General features: G+C 42.4%; 1 annotated feature.

Moving 5' to 3' along the window:
- Window positions 13,788–14,289: an enhancer, noted in NCBI's record as "NANOG hESC enhancer chr8:140009858-140010359 (GRCh37/hg19 assembly coordinates)". NCBI's record gives its function as "activates a minimal SCP1, AML or CMV promoter by ChIP-STARR-seq in primed H9 embryonic stem cells {active_cell/tissue: H9 hESC(primed)}" and the evidence as "EXISTENCE:reporter gene assay evidence [ECO:0000049][PMID:30033119]".

The raw sequence follows: 25,109 nt of genomic DNA, 5'->3' as shown, positions 1-25,109 counted from the left end.
AGATTCATTTTAGTAATATCTTATTATGAATGTTTGCATATCTATCTATGAGAAATGTTGGTCTCTAGTAGTTTTCTTTACTTTTAATATCCTCCTATGTTGTCATTTTCAGGCTTATGCCAACTTCAAAGAGTAAGTTAATTAAGAAGCATTCCCTCCTCCTCTGTTTTGAAAGTTATGTTTGCAAGATTGGTATTATTTCTTGTATGTTTGATATAATTCTCCATTGAAGCTGAGTCTGAGGTTTTCTTTTGGAGGAAGTTTTTAAATTAAAAATTTCATTTTTTAATATGAGCTATGCAGATATCCCATCTCGTTTTATTTGTCTTAGAAAGTTGTGTTTTTTGAGAAAAAAAAAATTGTCAAATTTGGTCGGGTGTGGTGGCTCATGCCTGTAATCCTAGCACTGGGAGGCCAAGGCAGGCAGATCGCCTAAGGTCAGGAGTTCAAGACAGGCCTGGCCAACATGGTGAAACCCCGTCTCTACTAAAAATACAAAAAATTAGCTGGGCATAGTGGCGCACACCTGTAATCCCAGCTACTCTGGAGGCTGAGGCACGAGAATCTCTTGAACCCGGGAGTTGGAGGTTGTGGTGAGCCCAGCCTGGGTGATAGAGCAAGACTCCATCTCAAAAAAAAAAAAAAAAAGTCAAATTTTTTGGCTTAAAGTTTTTAAAAATGCCTCATTATCATTTTTGTGTCTGTTGAATATGTAGTAATATACCTTTTTTCCTGCTATTAGAATTCATGTTTTCTCCTTACTAAACCATTTGTAAACATTCTTTCATAAATCTATTTTGCTTTATTTAAGATAAAATGCATTCATTCAACATGTACAATGCAGTGGTTTAAGTATATACACAGAACTGTGCAAGTACCACCACAGTTTAATTTTAGAACATTTTCATCATCCCCAAAAGAAACCCTGCACCCATTAGCCGCCACTCCTCATTTCTCCTCCATCTCCCCCGGCAACTACCCAGATATAATGTCTGGATATCTTCTCTCTCTATGGATTTGCCTATTCTCTAATTTTTTAAGCCGAGTCTTTAATGTTGAATGTTTAGGTTGTTTCTACATTTTTACTATGATTAAGGCTTCATTAATATGAAATACATACAATACACTGTTTAAATGTTTTGCCTGATTATATTTTTGAGAGAGAAACTAATGCATATTAAAAGTCTGCTGTGTATTGTGTGTCTTCATAGACATATCTTAGCTATTAGTTGTTGTGTTTTTAAGAAGAGAGTATAAAAATCCTGCACTATTCTCTCTGTCCTATTTCTTCTTATTTTTATTGTGGTAAAATATGCATAATATGAAATGTATCATTTTAACCATCTTTAAGTGGACCCTTGGGTGGCATTAAGCACGTTCACATTGTTGTGCAACTGTCACCAGCTCCCAGCTCCAGAACTTTTTCATCTTCCCAAACTGAAACTTTTCCCCTATTCAACAATAATTTCCCAGCCAGGCATGGTGGCTCAAGCCTGTAATCCCAGAACTTTGGGAGGTCAAGGCAGGCATATCACGAGGTCAGAAGTTTGGGACCAGCCTGGCCAAGATGGTGAAACCCTGTCTCTACTAAAAATACAAAAATTAGTTGGGCGTGGTGGCGTGCACCTGTAGTCCCAGCTACTCAGGAGGCTGAGGCAGGAGAATTGCTTGAACCCAGGAGGCAGAGGTTGCAGTGAGCTGAGATCGTGCCACTGCACTCCAGCCTGGGTGATAAAGCGAGACTCCATCTCAAAACAAACAAACAAACAAATAAAAAAATATATTTTCCCATTCCCTTCTTTCTTTTGTCTTATTTCATTTAGCATAATTCCTTTCAGATTCGTCCATGTTGTACCATGTGGCAGACTGTAATTCTTTTTTAAGACTGAATAATATTCCACCTTATATGTGTATCACATTTGGCTTATCCATTCATATGTTAATGGGCATTTGGGTTGTTTTCAAATTTTGACTATTGTGAATGATGCCACTGTCAACATGGGTGTACAAATTTCTGTTTGAGTCTCTCATTTTAATTCTTTCATTTATATACCCAGACATGGAATTTCTGAATCACATGGTAATTCTATGTTTAATTTTTTGGAGAAATTGCCATACTGTTTTCCACAGCAGCCACATCATTTCATGTTCTTACCAGCAATACACAGGGTTTCAATTGTGACACAATTTTTGCAGAACACTTCTTATTTTCTGTTTTTGTTTTTGTTTTTTTTTTAATAGTAGCTGTCCTAATGGGTATGAAGTGATACCTCGTTGTGGCTTTGATTTGCATTTCCCCAGATTAGTGACATTGCGTATCTTTCCATGCACTTGTTGGCCATTTATGTATCTTATTTGGAGAAATGTCTGTTCAATATTTTTGTTCATATTTAACTTGTTTGTTTGCTTTTTGTCGAGTTGTAGAAATTTTAATATATTCTAGATATCAGTCCTTTACAAGATATATGATTTGCAAATATTTTCTCCCATTCTGTGGATTACCTTTATACTCTGTTGATAATGTCCTTTGATGCACAAAACTTTTAGATTTACTGAAGTTCAATTTATCTATTTTTACTTCATTGTCTGTGCTTTTAGTGCCATACCTGAGAAATCATTGACAAATCCAATGCTATGAAACTTTTCTCCTCTGTTTTCTTTTAAGAGTTTTGTAGTATTAGCTCTTATGTTTAGCTCTTTGATCCATTTTGAGTTCATTTTTGTATGTGATGTAAGCTAAGGGTCTAAATTTGTTCTTTATGGATATGGATATCCAGTTTTTCCAGTGCCATTGTTGAAAAAACTGTCCTTTCCTCATTGATCTAGGTGTCCTTGTTGGAAATGAATGAACCACGTATGTAAGAATTTATTTCTGGGTGGTCTATTCTATTCCATTTATCTGAATGTCTGTATGACAGTACCACACTCGTTTAATTATTGCAGCTTTGTAGTAAGTTTTGAAATCAGAAACTGTGAGTCCTCCAACTTTGTTCTTTTTCTTACCTGTTCTTTTTTGTTCTTAGTAAATCTTGCAATGGAGTTATTAATTTTATTTTGTTAACTTTTTCAAATAACCAAATCTTGATTAAGTTGACGTTATTGTCTTCCTTTGTTATATATCATTGATTTCTGATTTTATTTGTATTATTCTCCTTCTACTCACATTGAATTTATTTTTTTATAAATTTTTCATGTTCCCAAGGTGGAAGCTTAGTCAATTTATTTTAAATCTTATTTCTTTTGTAATATTGGCATTTGGTGCTAGGTATTTCCTTTTAAGTATTGCTCTAGCTGCATCCCAGCATTGTGAAATATTGATATTTTGTTATCATTTATATGAAAGTGTTTTCCAATTTTTTTAGATTTATTCTTTGACCCACGGGTTATTTCAAAGTTTATTGAATAATTTCCAAATAGTTGGAGCTTCTTAGATATGTTATTGTATTGATTTAAAATTTTATTTAATGTAGTCAGCAAATATACTCTGTATGACTCTCAATTGTGTGGCTTTCATTGAATCTTTTTGTGGCCCGACATTTGGTCTATTTTGGCAAATGTTCCAGGTGAACTTGAAAGAAAGTTTTTTTCTGCATTTGTTGGGTACATGTTTTTATAATATTAATTAAGCCAAATTAATGGTAGTGTTGCTCAGTCTATATTTGTTGCAGGCCGAAAGAGTAAGGGTTGTGATCAACTCAGTATACCACTGGAGGCCACATGAGTAAACAGCAAACTGTTCTCATAAATGCAGAATGTTGGCAAACTGACCAACTGCGTCTGCCACCCAGAAGGAATGCTGGGGGCAGTCACACCCTAAGTGCAGTGTTGCTTGTGATTAGGCACATCTGAAGCCTGTTAGCAATAATGTGAACCTGTGATCAATTAAGCAGTTGACCAGTCGTTACCTCGTGCTCCCTGCTGTTTCTACCCAATAAATGCGAAGGGCTGTAGAAGATCAGGGGTGCTGCCTTTGCTCACTAGAAGCAAGGAGCTCTCTTCTTCTTCCCCTGGCCCCTTCCTTAAAACAGATTCTTTCGTTTTAAGTTTTCATTCCTGCGTTCCTCCCCTTTCATTCAGTCCTGTAATGACGGTCTCAAGTAGTAACAGTAGTAACCGCGGAAAGTGACAGTCTTAGGTAGTAATTGTGGCAGTTGGCCACATACATTCTAACTCATTTCTTCTGATTCCTAAATCAATTACTCGGCTACTGAGAAAAGCATGTTAATTCTCCAATCACAAAGATGGATTTATCTATTTGTCCCTGTAGTTCTGTTGTCTTCACAGCAGTTGAAGCTGTTGCTAGGTGCATATAATTTAAGATTGTTATGGCATTATGATGAATTGGGCTTTGCTCATTATTAAATATTCTTTATCTCTGGTAATAGTCCTTATCTTGACGTCTCCTTTTTCATATTAATAGAACTCCTTCTGCTTTCTTATGTTTAGTGATTGCAAAGATATCCCTTCACATCCTTTCATGTTTAAACAGTTTAAGTATTTTTTTTTTCTTTTTAATTGGAGCCTCGTTTTGTCTCCCAGGCTGGAGTGCAGTGGTGCAATCTCTGCTTACTGCAGCCTCCGCCCCCAGGTTCAAGTTATTCTCCTGCCTCAGCCTCCTGAGTAGCTGGAATTACAGGCTCCCACCACCACGCCCAGTTAATTTTTATATATATTTTTTTTAGTAGAGATGGGGTTTCACCATGTTGGCCAGGCTGGTCTCGAACTCCTGGCCTTACTAAGGTGATCTTCCCACCTCGGCCTCTCAAAGTGCTGGGATTACAGGTGTGAGCCACCGTGCCTGGCCTGTTTATGTCTTTAGGTTTAAGTTATGTTGTTTTAATCAAGATCTACTTGGATCTTGTCTTTCCTTTATACAACTTTATAATCTGGACATTTCATGTGGTGAACTTATCCATTTGCAGTAAGTGTCATAATCACTATTTTTAAGTTTAGGGTTTCACTTGGGTATTTATTTTCTACTAGTCTCATCTGTTGTTACTCTGTTCCTTCTTTTACATTTTTGACTATTTCTTGATACCACATTATAACTGTGTTATGGGTTGAAAGTGTCCTTCAAAAAGATTTATTCATTACCTGTGAATGTGACCTTATATGGAAATACAGTTTTTGCAGATATAATCAAGTTAAAATGAAGTGACATTGGATTTGTGTGGGCTCTGATCCAGTGAGTGATGTTCTTATAAGAGGATATCTGGACAGAGACAGAGACACACAGAGAGCACCATGTGAAGATGGAAGCAGAGAGTGGAATAGTGCATCTTCTCATCAAGGAATCCCAAGTATTGCCAACATTACTAGAAGTCAGAAAGAGACAAGGAGGGGTCCTCCCTTAGAGTCTTCAGAGAGAGCAGGGTCCCATCAACACCTCAATTCCAGACTTTTATCTCCAGAACTGTCGGAGAAATACATTTCATTTGCTTAACTCACCCTGTTTGTGATAATTTGTTATGGCAGTTGTAGAAAACTGATATGATATCCTTTATTGTACTGTTTTTTTTTTCTTTTCTTTTCTTTTTGAGATGGAGTCTTGCTCTGTCACCCAGGCTGGAGTGCAGTGGCGCGATCTTGGCCCACTGCAACCTCCACCCCCCAGGTTCAAGCGATTCTCATGCCTCAGCCTCCCACGTAGCTGGGATTACAGGCATGTGCCACCAAGCCCAGATAAGTTTTGTATGTTTACTGGAGACAGGGTTTCACCATGTTGGCCAGGCTGGTCTTCAATTTCTGGCCTCAAGTGATCGCCCACCTCGGCCTCCCAAAGTGCTGGGATTATAGGCATGAGCAACTGAGCCTGGTCCTTTTATGTACTTATAAATTCAATGTATTTATGATATGTTTGAGTTGTGCTCTAAAGATTATTACAGACATAATTAATATCACAGTCTACCTTCAAACAATCATACACGTTAGAAAAAAATGTGAGAATCTCACAAAAATATAATTCCATTTACTTCCTTTCTGCCCTTTGTGCTCTGTACTTATAGATTTTACAAACCCCACAATACTGTGTTATTTTTGCTTTATACAGTCAATATGTTAAAGTGTACATGATAATAAATAAGGTTTTTAAATATACTTATGTACATATTTATAAATCTGATGTTCTTTTGTTTTTCTCATAGTTCCAAGCTCCCATCAGGTATCTAAGCTCCTTATCATTTCCAGTAGATTTACTCACATATTTTTCATAGTTATGTTAAAGTCCTCATCTCCTCATTTCAAACTCTGGGCTACCTCTGGATCTGTTTCTGGTTAATGTTGTGTCACTTAATTTTGGCTGCATTTTGGTTGGTTTGCTGCTACACATATCTTTAAACCTTTTTAAAATTATATGTATGCATTATATGCAAGGATACAGTAGATCCAAAGAACATAATAATTATGCTTAGAAAGTTCTCAGGATCTGACTACTGGTTAAACTCTAAAAACTTCTTTATGCTTTACTACCCATCTGGCAATTTTCTGAATCAAAAACTATCTCTGTCTGATTTAAAGCCTAGTCACCAGGCTTTTTTTTTTTTTTTTTTTTTGAGATGAAGTCTCACTCTTGTACCCCAGGCTGGAGTGCGATGGCATGATCTCAGCTCACTGCAACCTCTGCCTCCCGAGTTCAAGCGATTCTCTTGCCTCAGCCTCCTGAGTAGCTGGGATTACAGGTGCCTGCCACCACACCTGGCTAATTTTTGTATTTTTAGTAGAGACAGGGTTTCACCATGTTGGACAGGCTGGTCTCGAACTCCTGACCTCAGCTGATCCACCCACCTCGGCCTCCTAAAGTGCTGGGATTATAGGCATAATCATCAGGTTTTTGAGTCTCTTTTGTCCCACTTCTAGCCTTTTTCTTTTGTGGCAATCCATTTCCTTCCTTCTTCCTTGTCCCAGCCTTCAGCTAGCGGCCACCTTATACTTAGTGAAGCCAATCTCTCTCATCTCTCCGATCTACCTCCAGACTTTGGAAGATTGCTACCTTCCATTCCTGGCAGGCCACTCTAGGAGCTTTTCTATATTTTCTGCCCTGACTCCACCCAAAAACAAGCATTCACATGCAGCAGGAAAGGCTCCATCCAACTTGGAAGTTCTCTTTTAGCTCTCCTGCCTTCCTCCAACCTCTAACATATCATACACACTTGGCAAGGGCCCCAAGGAAAATGCTGGCAAGTGATTGCAACCAGCTTTGTGATGCAGGCACCTAGCAATTCCACTCCATCCTATCACCTCACATGTGGCCATGAAACATGGTAAAAATGTGAGCTGGTTTCTTCTTGGTTCTCCTATAACAGATTCACTTCTTCTGTCATGACCCTGGGGATGAAAACATATGTGGACTCCTCTCCTAGGAAGACTAGGAAGACTTCACTCCTTCTGGGAATTTAATTCTGGCTTTGTTTCTGCATGTGCAGATTTCTGATTTTTTAAAATTATGATTGTTGTATTTATTCAGCTTGTCCTTGGTTTTTAAGATGCTGAGGACAGTCGCTTGAGACTTTCAACATCATAGCTGGAAGAAGATGTGCTCAGCATGGCCATATCCTCATCTTACTCTCTGTACTTCCCTTAAACTCTGAAGTAGTGTGGCTCTTTCTCTAATCAATAACTCAAAAAATTAATCATGGTTATACTTTCACGGTAGTCAGAATTTCTCATGTAGGACTTGTTGAGTCACAAAGAGCAGTGTGGGTTGGCAGAACTGAACAGACCTCAGAAGCCGGCAAGACAACGCCCCTCATGTTTTATAGTACAAAAAGCTGGTGCATAGAGGGTGCAGAGGACTAGCCAGGGTCACCCAGCAACAAGTGGTCAGAACTCTTACTCCCCACTCTTGCATCTTTCCACTTTTGTAGCACCTGACTCTTAGAGCTTCAGTTCTATCATTAATAAAATAAGCAAGATGGATTAGATAAATGGATGGCTCCATTCAGCCTCATGAGTCTATTTTTTCCTTTCCTTGTGTCTGCTTAATCTTTCAAGGATGTCAAGGACACCATCCATGTGACATCATCAGAGGAGCTTTTCTATTTATGCTTAAAGGTTTGCCACAGCATGTATAGATGACAATTCCCGGGGGAAAAACAACAAGAGCTTTTTGTTAAAAATAATTCAAAGCCAAGATGACATAAATTTTTAAGAAATGTATTTTGAAAAAAAAATCCAAACATGTTCATGTAAGATATTCTTAAGGTATTGCCAAGTATAGTAGGAAGACTATACTCTCACAGTTACTTCACTGCCAGAGATGACCACCGTAAAGAGTTTACTATTTATTTCTTACAATTTTTATGGGCTTATGTTCATTTTATGTTTGTGTCCCTTCAATATATATTACTTCCCTGTGCTAGAATACCCTGCTGGATATCAGAGTATGGCAAGAACAAGACAGACAAGGCCTCTGACAGACTTCACCTTCGAATGAAGGAGGCAGACAAGAGGCAAACGAATGAGTCAACAACGACATCCCACAAGAAGAGGCGACAGGGTGACCGGGAAAAGAACTACTCCAGAAAACGCATCTCTCTCAGTAACAAAGGTCCAAATCATACGTAAGAATCAGATATTTTAAAATATGAGGTAAGAGTGAGATGGTGAGAAAAATGCAAAGACCCTGAAAAGGATCAAGTCAGTGCATGCAGCCCCCAGCAAGAGTGTCTCGAGTGTGGACAGCAGGAGGGTGGCAGGACATGCCAGGGAGAGGAAGGCAAATGCCACAGCCTGCAGCCTCTGTCAGTGGGCTTCAGTATTTTCCAAGTGCAGTGCAAAGTGATTGGAAGGCTTTAGGCAAAGCTTTCACAGATGAATTCCTAATTTAAAATATAGTTAAATATAGACACACATTTATAATGCATACCTAACTAAAATAGACAGCATACATTCATTCATACATAGACATTTTTTACTGAAAATATCCCTTATTGTTTCAGAAGGTTTTTTCCATATACTCTGACACATCTTTCAGTTAAAATGTGAAACAGTTTCACTTGTTGGCTTATTGAGAGTGCACACAGTTCTTTTCAACAATGTTGCATGATTTCTTATTATCTCCTCTTTGAACAGGAATGTTAATTGAAATGGTGATCGCATTTGTGTAATTTCAATTTGTTCGCTTAAGGTATTATTCACTTCCTCATTCAATTATTCAGCCATTGAGCATTGTTTGAACCTCTACAATGCCTACCATGCTAGGCATTCAGAGAAATATGAACAAGTTAAGGGTCCTGTCCTTAAGAGGCGTAGTCTGGAGAAAGGAGATCAACTGTACATGACCAAGGACCATTCAATTCTTTGAGAGTGGGAGGGAAGTTTGCACAGAGTACAAAAGAAACTCTTCTACGCTGAATGCTTCCCTGATCCCCAGTCTCCTAAAACTTGATCTCGAATTCCATCAGAGGAAAGATCAAGTTTCAGGAGCTTGGGGATCAAGGAAGCATTCAGCATCTCTGATGCTCAGGAGGAATTCTGAAAGATGAGGGTTAGCGGTCAGCTGGCAGAGGACAGGACATGTCCAGAGAGGCCAACAGGTGTATGCACAGGGCAGGATGCAGCCCAGCCTGTGACAAGTAAATGCACAGGGCAGGATGCAGCCCAGTCTGTGACAAGTAAAGGGACAGGGCACGATGCAGCCCAGCCTGTGACAAGTAAATGCACAGGGCAGGATGCAGCCCAGACTGTGACAGGTGAATGCACAGGGTAGGATGCAGCCCAGTCTGTGACAGGTGTATGCACAGGGCAGGATGCAGCCAAGCCTCTGACAGGTGAAGGGATACACAGGGCAGGATGCAGCCCAGCCTGCAACAGGTGAATGCACAGGGTATGGCACAGCCCAACTGCGACAGTTGGATGCACAGGACAGGATGCAGCACAGCATGCGACAGGCGGATGCATGGGACAGGATGCAGCGCAGCCTGTGACAGGTGAATGCACAGGGCAGGATGCAGCCCAGCCTGTGACAAATGAATGCACAGGGTAGGGCACAGCCTAGCCTGTGACAGATGAATGCACAGGGCAGGATGCAGCACAGCCTGTGACAGGTGAAAGCACAGGGCAGGATGCAGCCCAGCCTGGGACAGCCCTCCTCACTTAGCCACAAGAAGATGTCATGGTGAGGAGGAAGAACCATGGCCCAGGGGGTCGTGACAGCTGGGCTTCCCACTTGCTTTTTCCACCAACTCCCTTTGTCTTCATAGTTAAGACCCTATGCCTCTCTGTGCCTCAGCAGCCACACCTCAAAGAAGTCCTTGGGCTTTTGCATTCTGTGACTGTTAGTAAAAAGCCCGACATATTGTGGGGAAATTACTTGCTTTGACCTCTCCTGACCGCTCCTGAGCTCTGAAACCCAGCCAAGTCCTTTTCCCAGCAGACAATATTGAAACAATTAATGTAATGAGAAATGCTGATCTCAGTGAGGGCATCTTCAGCAAAATAAGGGGAATAATTAAGTAACACTGTCGTGATAGATTCAAAGTAACAAGGAGGCAATTGGGTCCAACTTCCTTCTGATAATTTGCTAGTCCCCAACAGCTCTGCCTGGTGGTCATTTGGCCTTGGCTTGACCATCTCCAGTGAAGGATCACTCACCATCCACAGGAAATGAACCTTCTCTCCTGGGTGGTCAGGATCAGATGCCACTATTCTGGAGAAGATCTGTGTGTTCTAGGAGATTTGGGGCTTGTTTGCAACCCGCCCTAAGCTACAGAGGTGTTTAAGACTGAAAGATTAATTCCATCCTTTCTGTGGTTCACCTCGGCCTCTAGATGCCTGACATTTCCCTTGCCACAGTGGGTGGTTTATGAACTCAGGATTTTGCAGAGAATCCTAAAAAACAGACCCCTCTTCCTCTCTATTTGTGGCTGCAGATACAAGGCTTGGAACTTGAACTACTGCTGTGGTTTCCCCACTGTGAGGGGAAAAAAAGGCAGCAGACATGAGGGAGGGGCAGAATAAAGGGAATTGCAGAGACAGGTCTATTAAACCAGCTCCAAACCCCACCTCCTTTATTGTCTAAGCCGGTTTGATTTGGGATTTCTGTTACTTATAAACAGAGGTATCCTAAAAGCTCTCAAAGAAACAGAGTTGAGTGTATGCACCACATCCCTGTGGGAGCTCAGCGTCCCTGAACCGCTGCTCGGGACCTGCTGGTCTGCATGAGGTCCTGGGTCTAACTGGAGTCCTGAGCATTCTGGACCCATGAAGTCTGCACATGTTCTATCCTCCAAGTTGTGTTTGCCCCACAACCCTCTCTGGGGAACCTCATTTCACAACATGCATCCAATCATAGCCCCTACCCTACGCCTGCTGTAAGGCTCTGCTTGGTCTTGCCCAGAAGTTTATTGTCTAGTCATCTCGATTTATGTTACCTCCTTCTAGACCCTGACTGCTCTAATCCACCCCCACCATGCACCCTGCTTCAGGACCACCCCTTGTCTGTCACTAACTCCTGGTGGATCATGCAATTCTGCCAGTGGGCGTGTTTCCCAGCCCCACAAGTGCACACATCAGATCTGCTTTTGCTCACCATTGTCTTCAGTTCTTAACACAGAGAAGATGGACCGGAAAATTATGGATAAATTAATGGATAAATAAATGGTTTTCCATCATTAACTGAAAGGCCAGTCCTTGCCAGGCCAAGTCTCTGCAGTTAACTCTTTCCATCCATCCATCCATCCTATGATATAGAACCCCCAGAATCAATAAATCAAATCCAGAGGTTTGTCCAAATGTTGCATGCCTTCAAAGAGGGAGAGAAAGGCACATCTCTTCAGTGGACAGGATCAGGGCTCCCTGCTCTGTGATACATTGGGAACTGGCAGGCCATGGAGTTATTATCTGTCACACTCGATTTAGGGAGATACTGCAGCTGACACACTCCTCTGCAGTTTAAGAAATGTATCTAATTGATTTCAGGGGCAGGAAGTGGTTTTTATAAAATGTATTGCCAAGCCCTTGAAATAGATATATGTATATTTGCACATCTCTAAATTGAAATGACAAAGTCAGCTGAGATTCTCAGGACAACTCTCATCACCTGCCTGGAAGGACAGGGGTTGTGCTGAGGTGCAGGTGGCAGCAGTGGCTTGTCACTGAGCTGTGCATCCCAAATCCTGTGTCTAAACATCAGCTTTACTGCTTGGGAACACAGAGGCAGACTTGGGAAACTGAATGACTGACCAGCTGTGCACTGGATTAGCATCCTTCCTGAGTCACAGTGGAAGGAGTGCCTCAGTGTGGCAGATTAGAGCTCAGGCTTTGCATTCAACTTGTGTGGAACACTGACTCCACTAAATGTGTAGCCCAAGGCATGGTGCCTAAACTCCAGTCCTATTTCCTCATCTTTAAATAGGGAATAGAGAGTTGTGGGCATTAAATAAAATGACCTAAAAGCAGTTAGCAGAGTTAAGTCAGCAGAAAACAAGTATTCAATACATCTCCATTACTATTTTCCTCAGTGAAATCAAACTCCACCTCACTGTCTTGTTACCCAGCCTGAGAATTCTGAGCCCCACACCATGGAGCGGTGACCTGCCTGGAAGACCCACAGGAGGCAATGACCACAGGCAGAAGGAGCTGTGTATGTTCTCATCAGAAGGCATGAGGGGAGGTCATGCCAGCTGGAGGAGAGGGTTCTGTGTGATTTGCTGCCTCTGCTTGCCTGTAGACTGAAGGGGGACTTAGGAGGCAGAACCAGGCCCAATTCCTTGTGTTGTCTGCAAGGTAAGCAGTTCAAGACCCAATGCCCACTCTTTAAGCTCTGATGGGCTGCCCCACTGACTTTTCAAGGGAAGCAAGAATGGAGGATGATATAGCTTAGTTTAGTTTCTAGGAATTAAAGTCAGACAGATAAAGGCAGAATGCTCTGTGACCTTGGAGAAACAGACTCTTCGTGCCACCTAAATTGCAAAATATTAAATGTGAAAGGGACCTTAAAGAGATTCTCATATTTTATTAAGACCAGAGAAGGAAAGTAACTTCCTCACACGGTAAGCTGCAGGAATGACCAGGTGTGGAATATGCTCATTTTGGCTCCAAGTTGAGTTACGTTGCATCATTACACATCGTTTTCACTTTCCACCCCAGATAATTTACATGTCACTTCTTTCTGAGAATCAAATGTTAGAAAAATTGCAAAAGATTTGCAATGGGGAGACGTGAGTTCTAGTCCTGGCTCTGTCCTGGCTGTGTGATGTGAATGGAGTCAGCTGGCATGCTGAGAAAAATGCTAAACAAGGATCAGGAAGTCTGGCCTCCAGTCCTGTCTCCGGAGGACTTTGGGGGAAAATCACTTTGGCTCTCTTGTCCTTCATTTCAGCATTCATAAATTGAGAGAGATAGACTGGACATCAATTAATTGATCAAAACTTCATCAATTTTGAAATATATGTGGTCCGACTTCCTTAGTGGTCAAAGACCAAGCATATCATATCTCTCTATCTGAAACAGTCCACTCTGGGCATAGTAAGCACTTGAGAGATATTTGGGGATAAATCTATAGAGGAAAGAAAGGAGTTCTAAAAATTACACTAAATGAAATAAACCCGTCACAAAAAAACCACATATTGTAAAATTCCATTGACATAAAATGTCTAGGATAAGTGAATCTATACAGAAAGAAAGTGGAGCAGTGGATGCCAGGAAGAGGGGGCTGGAGTGGGATGGGGAGTGACTGCCAGTAGGTAAAGGTTTTCTTTTGAGATGATATAAATATTCCAAAATTAGATTGCAATTATGGTTGTACAACTCAGTGAATACATTACACAACCATTGAATGGTACCCCTCAAATGGGTGAATTGCGTTGTGTGTAGATTATATCCCAACAAACAGTCGATTTCTCTAAACTAAGTGGTTCTGTCTTTGATCTGTCCAGTCTCCTGGAGCCATAGCCTGTGGGCAACTGAACTCCTCTTCCTCCCAAGGCCTTGAGATTTGGAGGCTGCCAATCATGTCACAAACACAAAGGGCTATAAAGTTATATCCCCCGAGGTGCCTGGCATGGAGATGTCTAGAGATCTAAGGACATTGCAAGTACAAAGCTGTGGCTAAAGGCCCCAGCAGGAGGGCACTATGGGGAGAGGTGGGCTGAGGGCTGAGGCCCCGAGCAGAAGAGGCTCACTTTGGGCAGCTCAGAAGTTCTGATCCTAAGCTACTTAGAGTGCCCCCAAAAAGTAAATGGCCAGCCAGCTGGGTCAGGCTGAGTGCAGCTTGGTAGACTAGGTGTGGTGGATGGGAGTGTGCTCTTCACCTACAGGCTCCCAGGGCTTAGATGAGGCCATTCCATTGGTGGCATTTTGGCTTCCTCTGAGAGGTCACTCAGTGCAATGAATTCCTAGAAGGCTGATGTAATGGGCTGAGTAATGACACCCGAAGTTACCCAGACTCTAATCCCTAGAACCTGTGAGTGTTACCGTGTAAGGAAGAAGAGACTTTGCACATGTGTTTTAGTCAGGAATGTTGAGATGGGAGAGTATCCCGGATCATCTGGGTGGGCCCTAAATGCAGTCAGAAGTGTCTTTTCAGGAGGGAAACAGAGGGTGATTTCACACAGAAGATGGCAAGGTGGCCCTGAAGTGACATGCTGCTCACCAGCTTTGAGGATGGCAAAAGGGGCCAGGAGCCAAGAAATGCGAGGGATGCAGCTCTAGAAGCTGGAAAAGGCAAGGAAATGCATTATTTTCTAGGGAGGGAGTGTAGCCCCAAGGCCACAGAGATTTGGGGCCAATAAAGCTGATTTTGGACTTCTGACCTCCAGAACTGTAAGAATGAATTCATGTTGTTTTAAAACAGTAAGTCTGTGATGACTTTTTGCAGTAGCAATAGTAAACAAATACAGCTGCTGATGCCATCTTCCCATACTCTAAAGTACATCGGAGCAGGTCCCGTGTGCTTAGGGGGTTGGGGGAGATGGAGAAAAAGAAGAATCATAAACAGAACCCACTAAGGAAGAATCACCTGCCTGGGTCTGCATCCTGGCTCCGCCATATAACCAGCCATGTGCACTTAGGCGAGTGACTTGTCTTCCTTCTTCCTTTGTTTCCTCATCTGTAATGTGGTGGAAATGACAGTCTCTACCTCAAAGGCTTGTGGTGGCAAGTAAATGAGCTAATAGAGGTAAAGATCTTAGAACAGTGCTGGCATCAAGTAAGTGCTGCATAAGCATAGTTAGTGTATTGTTAAGCTGAGAGACCAAGCTCATATGGGCAAAACTACCATGGGAGTACTAGTATAGAGCAACAGTGTGGAAATCAGGCGTGCTGCGTGAAATGCCTGGATTAGGGTCAAGCATAAGCGGTTTTGAGTTTTCTTGAGAGAAACACCTCCCTTTTGCTGGAGGCTCACAGCCCACCCTTGTGTACTTGCACACTGTGAGTTCCAGACACCTGCTAGCAGAACCCAGGCATTTGCCAAACATGAGACAAGGAAGCAAGCCTTCACTTATTTGCTAAATCACCAGGCACCAGGGAGCGCCTACACTGCACCTGCTGCTCCATGGGATACTGAGATTAAGAACATAACACCCAGTTCCTATTGTCGAGGGCCTTATAATCCATGAGGAAATAGAAGGAATGTGTAGAATCATTGTAAACCAGGTGGTATCTTAGCACGGGATTCTCTGAAAGCCTAAATGGTGGGGCTGGTTGATGGAAGGTCTTTTATACCATGTAGAAAATTGTAAACTTTGTTGCACAGGGAATGGGGAGAGGCATCCAGGTTTGAGAAGAGGTGTGGTATGCTTCCATTTGTATTTGTTTGCGTGACTCTGTCAGAAGTGAGCTAGAAGCTTCAGAGAAGAAATACAAATGCCACTAATTCGTTTATTTAACACATGCCATTTCACATTAACTAACTGCACTGTGTGCCAGATGCCATATGAGGTACGATGGTAAATTTTTTATGTCAACTTTACTGGGCCACAGGATGCCCAGATATTTGGGCAAACATTATCCTGGGTGTTTCAGTGAGGGTGTTTTTGGATAAGATTAACATTTAAATCAGCAGAATGAGTAAGGCAGATTGCCCTCTCTAATGTGGTGGGCTTCATCCAATCAGTTCAGAAAGAAAATTCTTCCCAGTTAGAGAGAATTCTTCCTGCCTGATGGCCTTTGAACCTGGACATCAGCTTTTTGCTGCCTTTGGATTAGAACTGAAACATCAGCTCTTTCCGGGTCTCAAACTTGCTGGCCTTTGTACTGGAGCTACACCATTGGCTGCCCTGGTGCCCAGGTCTTCAGACTCAGACTGGAACTATGACATCCACTCTCCTGCATCTCCAGCTGCCAGCACACCCTGCAGATCTTGGGACTTCATAGCCTCCATAATTATGCGAGTTGTTTCTTCCTAATAAATCCCTTTATATATATACATAAATCTGTAGTGAACAACAGCAGACTTTGCCACTTCAAAATACAGAAATGGCTTTTTGAAGACTCAGTTACAGTAGTACCATGTGGGTGGTGATACCTTGCAAGGCTGGGGCAAAGTTCTCTAGGAAGCTGTCTATGCTCTGAATCAGCATCCAACAGATGGTACCACATCTCCCATAGCCAGAATTCATGGGTCTAGAAATCAAGGGGTGGAAATGGGAGTGGTACCACTCACGATTACACCTGGTGACACACTAGCAAAAGTTTTGCTTCCTGTTTCTGTGACCTTATACTCTGCTGGCCTAGAGGTCTAGAGGGAGGAATGCTTCCACCAGGAGACACAACAATGATTCCACTAAACCAGAAGTTAAGATGCCACATGGTCACTGTGGCCTCCTTTATACCTGTGAATAAACAGGCAAGAGGAGGAGTTCCTGAGCTGGCTGGGGTGATTCATCCTGACTACTCAGCAGATATTGGACCATGACTCCTCAGTGGAGGTAAGGAAGAGCATGTCTGTAATAAGAGATCTCTTGGGTATCTCTTACTATTAATCTGCCCTATGTTTAAGGCCAATAGCAAACTACAATTCAATCTGGGAAAAACTACTGAAAACCCAGACCTTTTAGGAATGAAAATTTGGGTCACCCCATCAGGTGAAGAGCTATGGCCAGCTGAGGTGCTTGCTAAAGGCAAAGGGAATATAGAATGGGAAGTGGAGGAAGGTGATTATAAATACCTGCTATGGCTGCATGGCCTGTTATGGAACTGAGGACTGTAGTTGCCATGAAAATTTCACCTGTGTGTGTGTGTGTGTGTATGTGTGTGCGTGTGTGTGTGTGTGTGTATATATATACACATATATATATGTGTTCCCTCTCTCACCTCCCTATTATGTAACATAAGATGTATTAACTTCCTATCATTGTATTTAAGTTTCAAGATAGCAAGAAGAGTAAACACCTCTCAAGAACTTTACCTCCTCTTCTGGGAAAGTGTGAATGCATTGTTGGTTGTACAAAGGACAGTTATATCACATTAGTTGGAATGGCCTTGTTATTGTGTTTATTTTTAGATTAAGCATGGTTTAAGGAGAGGCATATGGGTGCCAAGTTGTCAAGGGGTGGACCCATGGTGGTTAATTTTGTGTGTCAACTTTACTGGGCCATGAGTTTCCCAGATCATCTGACTTTCCTCAAGATAGCTTTACATGGTTGAGCTCTCTACTGCTCGTTTGAACAAAGAGAAGCAGAACTCACTTGGCTCTGAATGTCCTTCTGGAAGTTGGTCTGCTTACTCAGATCTCTCGTGTAAGCAGGAGTTACTATGCTCAAAGCAATATAAATTATAAAATGGTTTTCACATATGTCACCTAATTGAAACCATGAAAGGACAGTGCATGGAGTGACAATTGTCTCAGTTTCATCCCTGCAGGACTGAGGTCTAGAGATGAGAAATGATGGGAAAGATGACTCACACACCTCCCAATGTGGCAGGAGGGGGAGAGGGATTCCTAGCTGCTCCTCAGTCACAGCCCTAATGCCATCCACCCAAACCAAGGTACTACTTAATGATATGAGCAATAAAATCATGACCAAACCCAAAAGCTGGTTTCAGCCCTGATCTTACAGTTCCTCTGAGCTGCTTCAAAATGCTGTTCAGTCAGCCCTCCTGGAAGCTCTCTTTCCCTTGGCACCCCTGAGCCACACTTTTCCCTTTTCCTCATCCCTGCAGCCTCCCCTCTGCTTCCAACCCATGATGATGAGTGTTCCCAGCTCCCGGACTCACCAAACTCACCCCCTGACCCTTCCTGCACTATCTCATTCTTCCTGGTGGCTTTGTCTTCCCACTGTGATGGGCTCTGTTTTCAGATTATCCCCCTTCATGATCTCCAGGACACCTTCCCATGTGCCTCCTGTATTTCAACAGCTGGATATCCCACTCAAACTCAAATGCATCAGCATCTTTTCTCATCTCTGATTTTCATTTGAAGGTATAAAGAGATCAGAGGAAGAAAGCTGAGTTAATTGTTTTTCTCAATTCTTGATGTATCAACAGTCAGGAACCCCCACCCCATTCTCTCTCATTTTGTTTGAATTCCTTTCCCCACCTTCTTTGAGTATATTCCTCACTTCCCCAACAGGTAGCTGCTACAATGTGTTTGCGAAGATTCCCTGTACGTGTGGGTATCCTTGTAAAATGTGCGGTGTTGTTTCCAGTGTCTGTATTTTAAATTTATATTCATGATATTGTGCTGATATTCCACTCAGCATCTTTAAGATCTCCTCATGTTGCTGCATGTTCTTCTAGTTTTTTTTTTTTTTTCTTTTGAGATGGAGTCTCACTCTTGTCACTCAGGCTGGAGTGCAATGGTGCGATCTTGACTCACTGTAACCTCTGCCTCCCAGGTTCCAGCAATTCTCTGGCCTCAGCCTCCTGAGTGGCTGGAATTACAGGCACCCACCACCACGCCTGTCTAATTTTTGTATTTTTGGTAGAGATTGGGTTTCACCATGTTGGCCTCAAGTGATTTGCCCGCCTCAGCCTCCCAAAGTGCTGGGATTACAGGCATGAGCCACCACGCCTGGCCAGTGTTCTTCTAGTTTGCCACTTCTGCCTGCTTCATAGCCCAGAGTGTGTGCATGTGTTCACACATTTTATCCATCTATTGCACCACTGATGGGCACCCGGGTTTCTTCTCACACCTGCTACCACAAACAAAGCTGATTTGAACTTCCTTATATTTGCTCCTTGTATAGCAGTTTCTCTCCTGGCTCATCAGCTATGCACCTTCTTATTTTTAAAAATTATACCTATCTTCCCTCTGGCAGCTGTACTGGGCTAGCCTGGCTGAACCATCAGCAGTTCATCCATGGTCGCCTATTCCACATCCCCTCCAACATTCTAAAGTGTACTTCTTTGTAATTTTTGTCACAGTAAATAGAGTTGCACCTTTAATTATTTGAATTAGCATTTTTAAATTACTGAGTTTGAACACTTTTAATAGACATGTTAGCCATTTAGACTTCTTTATCTGTCAGTAGGCTATGTATAGCTTCAGCTCTTATTTCTACTCCATTTAGTATATTTTTTTCAGAAATCCTATTTTTTATTACAGCTATAAATTATGTGTCAGTTTCAGAAAGTGTGGAAAATATTTTCCTGGCTCATCATTAATTTAATTGCTATGATTTTTAATAATAGTGACACAGTTAGGCTTTGTGTCCCCACCTGCATCTCATCTTGAATTGTAATTCCCATAATCCCCATAATCTCCACATGTCAAGGGAAAGACTAGGTGGAGGTAATTGAATCATGGGGGTGGTTTCCCAATGCTGTTCTCGAGATAGTGAGTAAGTTCTCATGAGATCTGTTGGTTTACAAGGAGCTCTTCCCCCCTCCCTCAGCACTTCTTCTTCCTGCTACCTTGTAAAGAAGGTGCTTTGCTTCCTGATATAGTTTTGCTGTGTCCCCACCCAAATCTCATCTTGAATTCCCACGTGTTGTGGGAGGAACCCAGTGGGAGGTAATTGAATCCTGGGGGCAGGACTTTCCCATGCTATTCTCGTGATAGTGAATAAGTCTCACAAGATCTGATACTTTTAAAAAGAAGAGTTTCTCTGAACAAGCTCTCTTTGCTTGTCTGCTGCCATGTGAGATGTGCATTTCGCCTTCTGCCATGATTGTGAGGCTTCCCCAGCCACGTGGGACTGTAAGTCCAATAAATCTCTTTATTTTGTAAATTGCCCAGTCTCAGGTATGTCTTTACCAGCAGCGTGAAAATAAACTAATACAGTAAATTGGTACCAGAAGTGGGGTGTTCCTGAAAAGATGCCAAAAATGTGGAAGGAACTTTGGAATTGGGTAACAGGCAGAGGTTGGAACAGTTTGGAGGGCTCAGAAGAAGAGAGAAAGATGTGAGAAAGTTTGGAACTCTGTAGAGACTTGTTGAATGGCTTTGACCAAAATGCTGATAATGATACGTACAATGAAATCCAGGCTGATGTGGTGTCAGATGGAGATGAGGAACTTGTCAGGAACTGGAGTAAAGGTGACTTTTGTTATGTTTTACCAAAGAGATTGGTGACATTTTGCCATTGCCCTAGAGATTTCTGGAACTTTGAACTTGAAGGAGATGATTTAGGGTATCTGGTGGAAGAAATTCTAAGCAGCAAAGCATTCAAGATGTGACTTGGGTGCTATTAAAAGCATTCAGTTTTAAAAGGAAGCAGAGCATCAAAGTTCAGAAAATTTGCAGCCTGACAATGCAATAGAAGAGAAAATCCTATTTTTTGAGGAGAAATTCAAGCTGTCTGCAGAAATTTGCATAAGTAATGAGGAGCCAAATGTTAATCACCAAGACAATGGGGAAAATGTCTCCAGAGCATGTCAGAGGACTTCACTGTGCTCCTCCCATCACTGGCGTGGAGGCCTAAGAGGAAAAAGTGGTTTCATGGGCCCGGCCCAGGGTCCCCATGCTGTGTGCAGCCTAGAGACTTGGTGCCCTGCATCCCAGATGCTTCAGCTGTGGCTAAAAGGGGCCAACATAGAGTTCAGGCCATGGCTTCACAGGGTGCAAGCCCCAATCCTTGGCAGCTTCCACGTGGTGTTGAGCCTGTGAGTGCACAGAAGCCAAGAACTGAGGTTTGGGAACCTCCACCTAGATTTCAGAGGATGTATGGAAACACCTGGATGTCCAGGCAGAAGTTTGCTGCAGGAGTGGGATCCTCAGGGAGAACCTCTGCTAGGGCAGTGTGGAGGGAAAATGTGGGATCAGACCCCCCAAACAGAGTCTGTACTGGGGCACTGCCTAGTGGAGCTGTGAGACGAGGGCCACCATCTTTCAGACCTCAGAATGGTAGATCCACTGACAGCTTGCACCATGCACATGGAAAAACCACAGACACTCAATGCCAGTCCATGAAGGCAGCCAGGAGGGAGGCTGTACCCTGCAAAGCCACAGAGGCAGAGCTGCTCAAGACCATGGAAACCCACCTCTTGCATCAGCATGACCTGGATGTGAGACATGGAGTCAAAGGAGATCATTTTGGAGTTTTAAGATTTGACTGCTCTGCTGGATTTTGGACTTGCATGGGGCCTGTAGCCCTTTTTTTTGGCCAGTTTCTCCCATTTGGAACAAGTGTATTTGCCCAATGCCTCTATCCCCATTGTATCTAGGAAGTAACTAACTTGCTTTTGATTTTACAGGCTCACAGGCAGAAGGGACTTGCCTTGTCTCAGATAAGACTTTGAACTGTGGACTTTTGGGTTAATGTTGAAATGAGTTAAGGCTTTGGGGAACTATTGGGAAGGCATTATTTGTTTTGAAATGTGAGGACATGAGATTTGGGAGGGGCCAGGGGCAGAATGATATGGTTTGGCTGTGTCCCCACCCAAATCTCATTTTCAATTCCCTCAGGTTGTGGAAGGGACCCAGTGGGAGGTAACTGAATCATGGGGACAGGTCTTTCTCATGCTGGTCTCGTGATAGTGAATAAGTCTGATGAGATCGGATGATTTTAAAAAGGGGAGTTTTCCTGCACATGCTCTCTTTGCATGTCTGCTGCCATGTGAGATGAGTCTTTCACCTTCCGTCATGATTGTGAGGTCTCCCCAGCCATGTGTGTCCAATAAACCTCTTTCTTTTGTAAATTGCCTAGGTATGTCTTTATCAGCAGCATGAAAATGGACTAACACATTTCCCCTTTGCCTTCTGCCATGACTGTAAGTTTCCTGAGGCCTCCCCAGCCATGCAGACTGTGAGTCAATTACAACTCTTTCCTTTATAAATTACCCAGTCGTGGGCAGTTCTTTACAGCAGAATGAAAACAGACTAATACAAACAGGAATTATTACTTTTCGTGTAGTGAAAACAATCCTTGTTTCCCCTGAGGTTGGGGCTGTCTGCTGACCAATGCTATCTCTCTCCACCTTAGTTGGCAGCCCCAATATGAACCATCTCACCTGGGTCAAAAGCCACTCATCATCCTGGACTGTTCTCTCCCCTCTCTACCAAATGCTAGTCACCAGCCCTGCCAATTGCATGGCCTGACTGCAATTGACTCCATCTCCTCTCACCCTCACCGTGGCTGCCCTGGTATGCCCCTTGTCAGTCCTCACCCAAACGGTCTATGGCACAGTCTCTAACCAGTCTCCATGTCTCCAGCCTCTTCCTACTCCATGCCCAAAACTACTGGCTGAATGATCAATTCAGATGCACAGTCCAACTGTAACTTTCTCCTGCTAGGAATCCCCAGTGGATCTTGTTGACTCACACTCTTCCCTCTAATATGGGTGATTATCAGAATCATTGAGTGAGGCTTTTTTTTTCCTTTTAATCAGAATTCCTAGATTCTAACCCAGAATTACAGAATGAAAATATTTGGGGATATGCTTTGGGGAGCTATATTTTCAGTAGCAGATGCAGAACAAACTGTCTTTCTGCTACACACCATACCCTCTATCCTCCAAATCCTGGAGATGGCATGCCCTGCCCCCTAAAAAGTAGTATCCTGCCAACATCCTCTACCAGGCCCAGCCTCAAGGCCATGGAGGTAATGCTGGGATATTTGTTCTTCCATGCACTAACTATGTCTTGCTTTTCTGCCTTTGCAAGCTTTGTGCTATCCTCTTGGGAATTATTTCCCTTATATTAAACCTAATTTAATTCTTCAAGGATTCTCTGAGTCCACTCCTTCTTCAGGAAGTTTTTTCTTGACCATCCAGGCTCACACAGACATTGCCCCTCCTTGGTGTCCCTATGGAACTTCTTGCCTTCATCTGCTTCACACATTTTTGCTTGGTTTTCTAACTATTTGTCTCTGCCTGTCCCTTTCATCAAACTCTGAGCTCCTTGAGATGGAGTTGTTCAAATTATTGCTGTACCTAGAACAATAGGTCTAGGATTTCAGACCTGAAAAGGAGGATGAAATCAAATTAACAAAAGTCTTCAGAATATCTACAGAATTGTAAGCAAGAACGTGGCCATTTCCTAGAGATCCTAACAACATCTTTTATAATATGAGTGTGTATAAGCTTCCCAGCCAAGGGCTTAATGCCTACAGGTTTATTGGGAGATTCAATTATCCATTACTACTTAACAAACCATCCCAATTTAGTGGCATAAGAAACTTAATAATTTGTTATTTTTATTTTTATTATCAATTATCACCTCTCAGAGTTCTGGGGGTCACCTGGACTCAGTTAAATGGCTCTCTCTGGAGGTCTTTCATTCCTTTGCAATCAGATGGTGGCTGAGATGGGGTCATTCTAGAAGCTTTCTCCTTCTTGTCTACATTAGTGCTGGTTGTTGGTTAAAAACCTTAGCTGAAACTGTCAGCATGAACACCTATACATGGCCTCTTCATGTGGCCTGGGCTTCCTCACAGCCTGGTGGCTGGGTTCCAAGAATGTATCTCAAGAAAGAGGAGTCAGTGTCATGGGCTCAATGTTTGTGTTCCCCACAAACTTTGAATGTTGAAATTTAATCCCCAATGTGATGGGACTTGGAGGTGGGGCCTTTGGCAGATGATTGGGTCATGAGAGTGAGAGTCCTCATAATAGGATTAGTGCATTTGGAAGAAGGGGCCAAAGAGTTGGCTCCCTCCTTCTGCCATGTGAGGATAAAAGAGGTCAGCTGTCTGTGAGCTGGAAGAGGGCCCTTACGCTTACCTGGCAACGTGGGTACCATGACTTTGAACTTCCAATCTCCAGAATAGTGAGAAATAGATTTTTATTGTTTATACAATCCAGTCCATGGTATTTTGTTATAGCAGCCTGGACTAAGAAAGTCAGGAAGAAACTTTATTTCCTTTCATATCCAAAAGCCATAGAGTGTCACTTCTACTATACTGCATTGGTCAAGGCAGTCACAAAGGCATAGAATTTCATGGTGAGGGGTTGTAGACTCCTCCTCTTGATGAAAGACTGGCAGGCCACATAATCAGAAGAGCATGTGGAGTATTGTGATGGAATTTGGGAACTACAGCTTGCTATCAATAAGCTACTTAACATCACTGAGACTCAGTTTACCCATCTATAACATATGGACATCAGTGCTAACCTCATAGGAATGTCAGTTGTGAGGTTTAAACTTGACATCTGGCTTCTGTTCAGTAAATATTAAGCATCTACTAAGTAAAAGCAGAAACAGATTGAAATTCCTGAGGTACACGGCTATAATGAGCCCACAGTAACTTTTGGCATCAAACTTCCTGTGAAAAATGGCATTATGTAGTGTTCAAAGTTAGAGCCTCCATCTGGGAATGGGCCTTTATGGAAAATATCAGAGGAGGAAGATTGCCTGACGGTGTATACAATCCCCTCAGCCACCTCTGCTCCCAATCCTCCAGGTTTTCACCCTCTTCTGAGCTGCTTACAACCAGATCTGGGCACGTTTCCAGCATCCAACACCTTTGATTTAATTAAACAAACAGCCCAGCCTGTGTTAGAAAAAGATGTAGAATATTCCCATCTATCCTAAAAGAAAGTTTGTATATCTCCTTTCATTTTCATCTTATTATGTCTCTCGTACTCACAAATTTCCTCCCATAAATAATACCTGCTATGACCTGCACAAATTTTACAAAAGAAATAAATGTAAAGCTTAATTTTTTCTGCTGTGATAATTTATGTTTATATACCTAGACCATTGCCTAACCCAATGATTGAATACAATTATTCATTGATTTTAGAAAATTACAATTATTTTATAATCATTGATTGTAATGATTTATGTCATT

Source organism: Homo sapiens, chromosome 8 (assembly GCF_000001405.40).
Source record: "Homo sapiens chromosome 8, GRCh38.p14 Primary Assembly".
NCBI lineage: Eukaryota > Metazoa > Chordata > Mammalia > Primates > Hominidae > Homo > Homo sapiens.
This window is presented reverse-complemented; position numbering and strand designations above follow the sequence as displayed.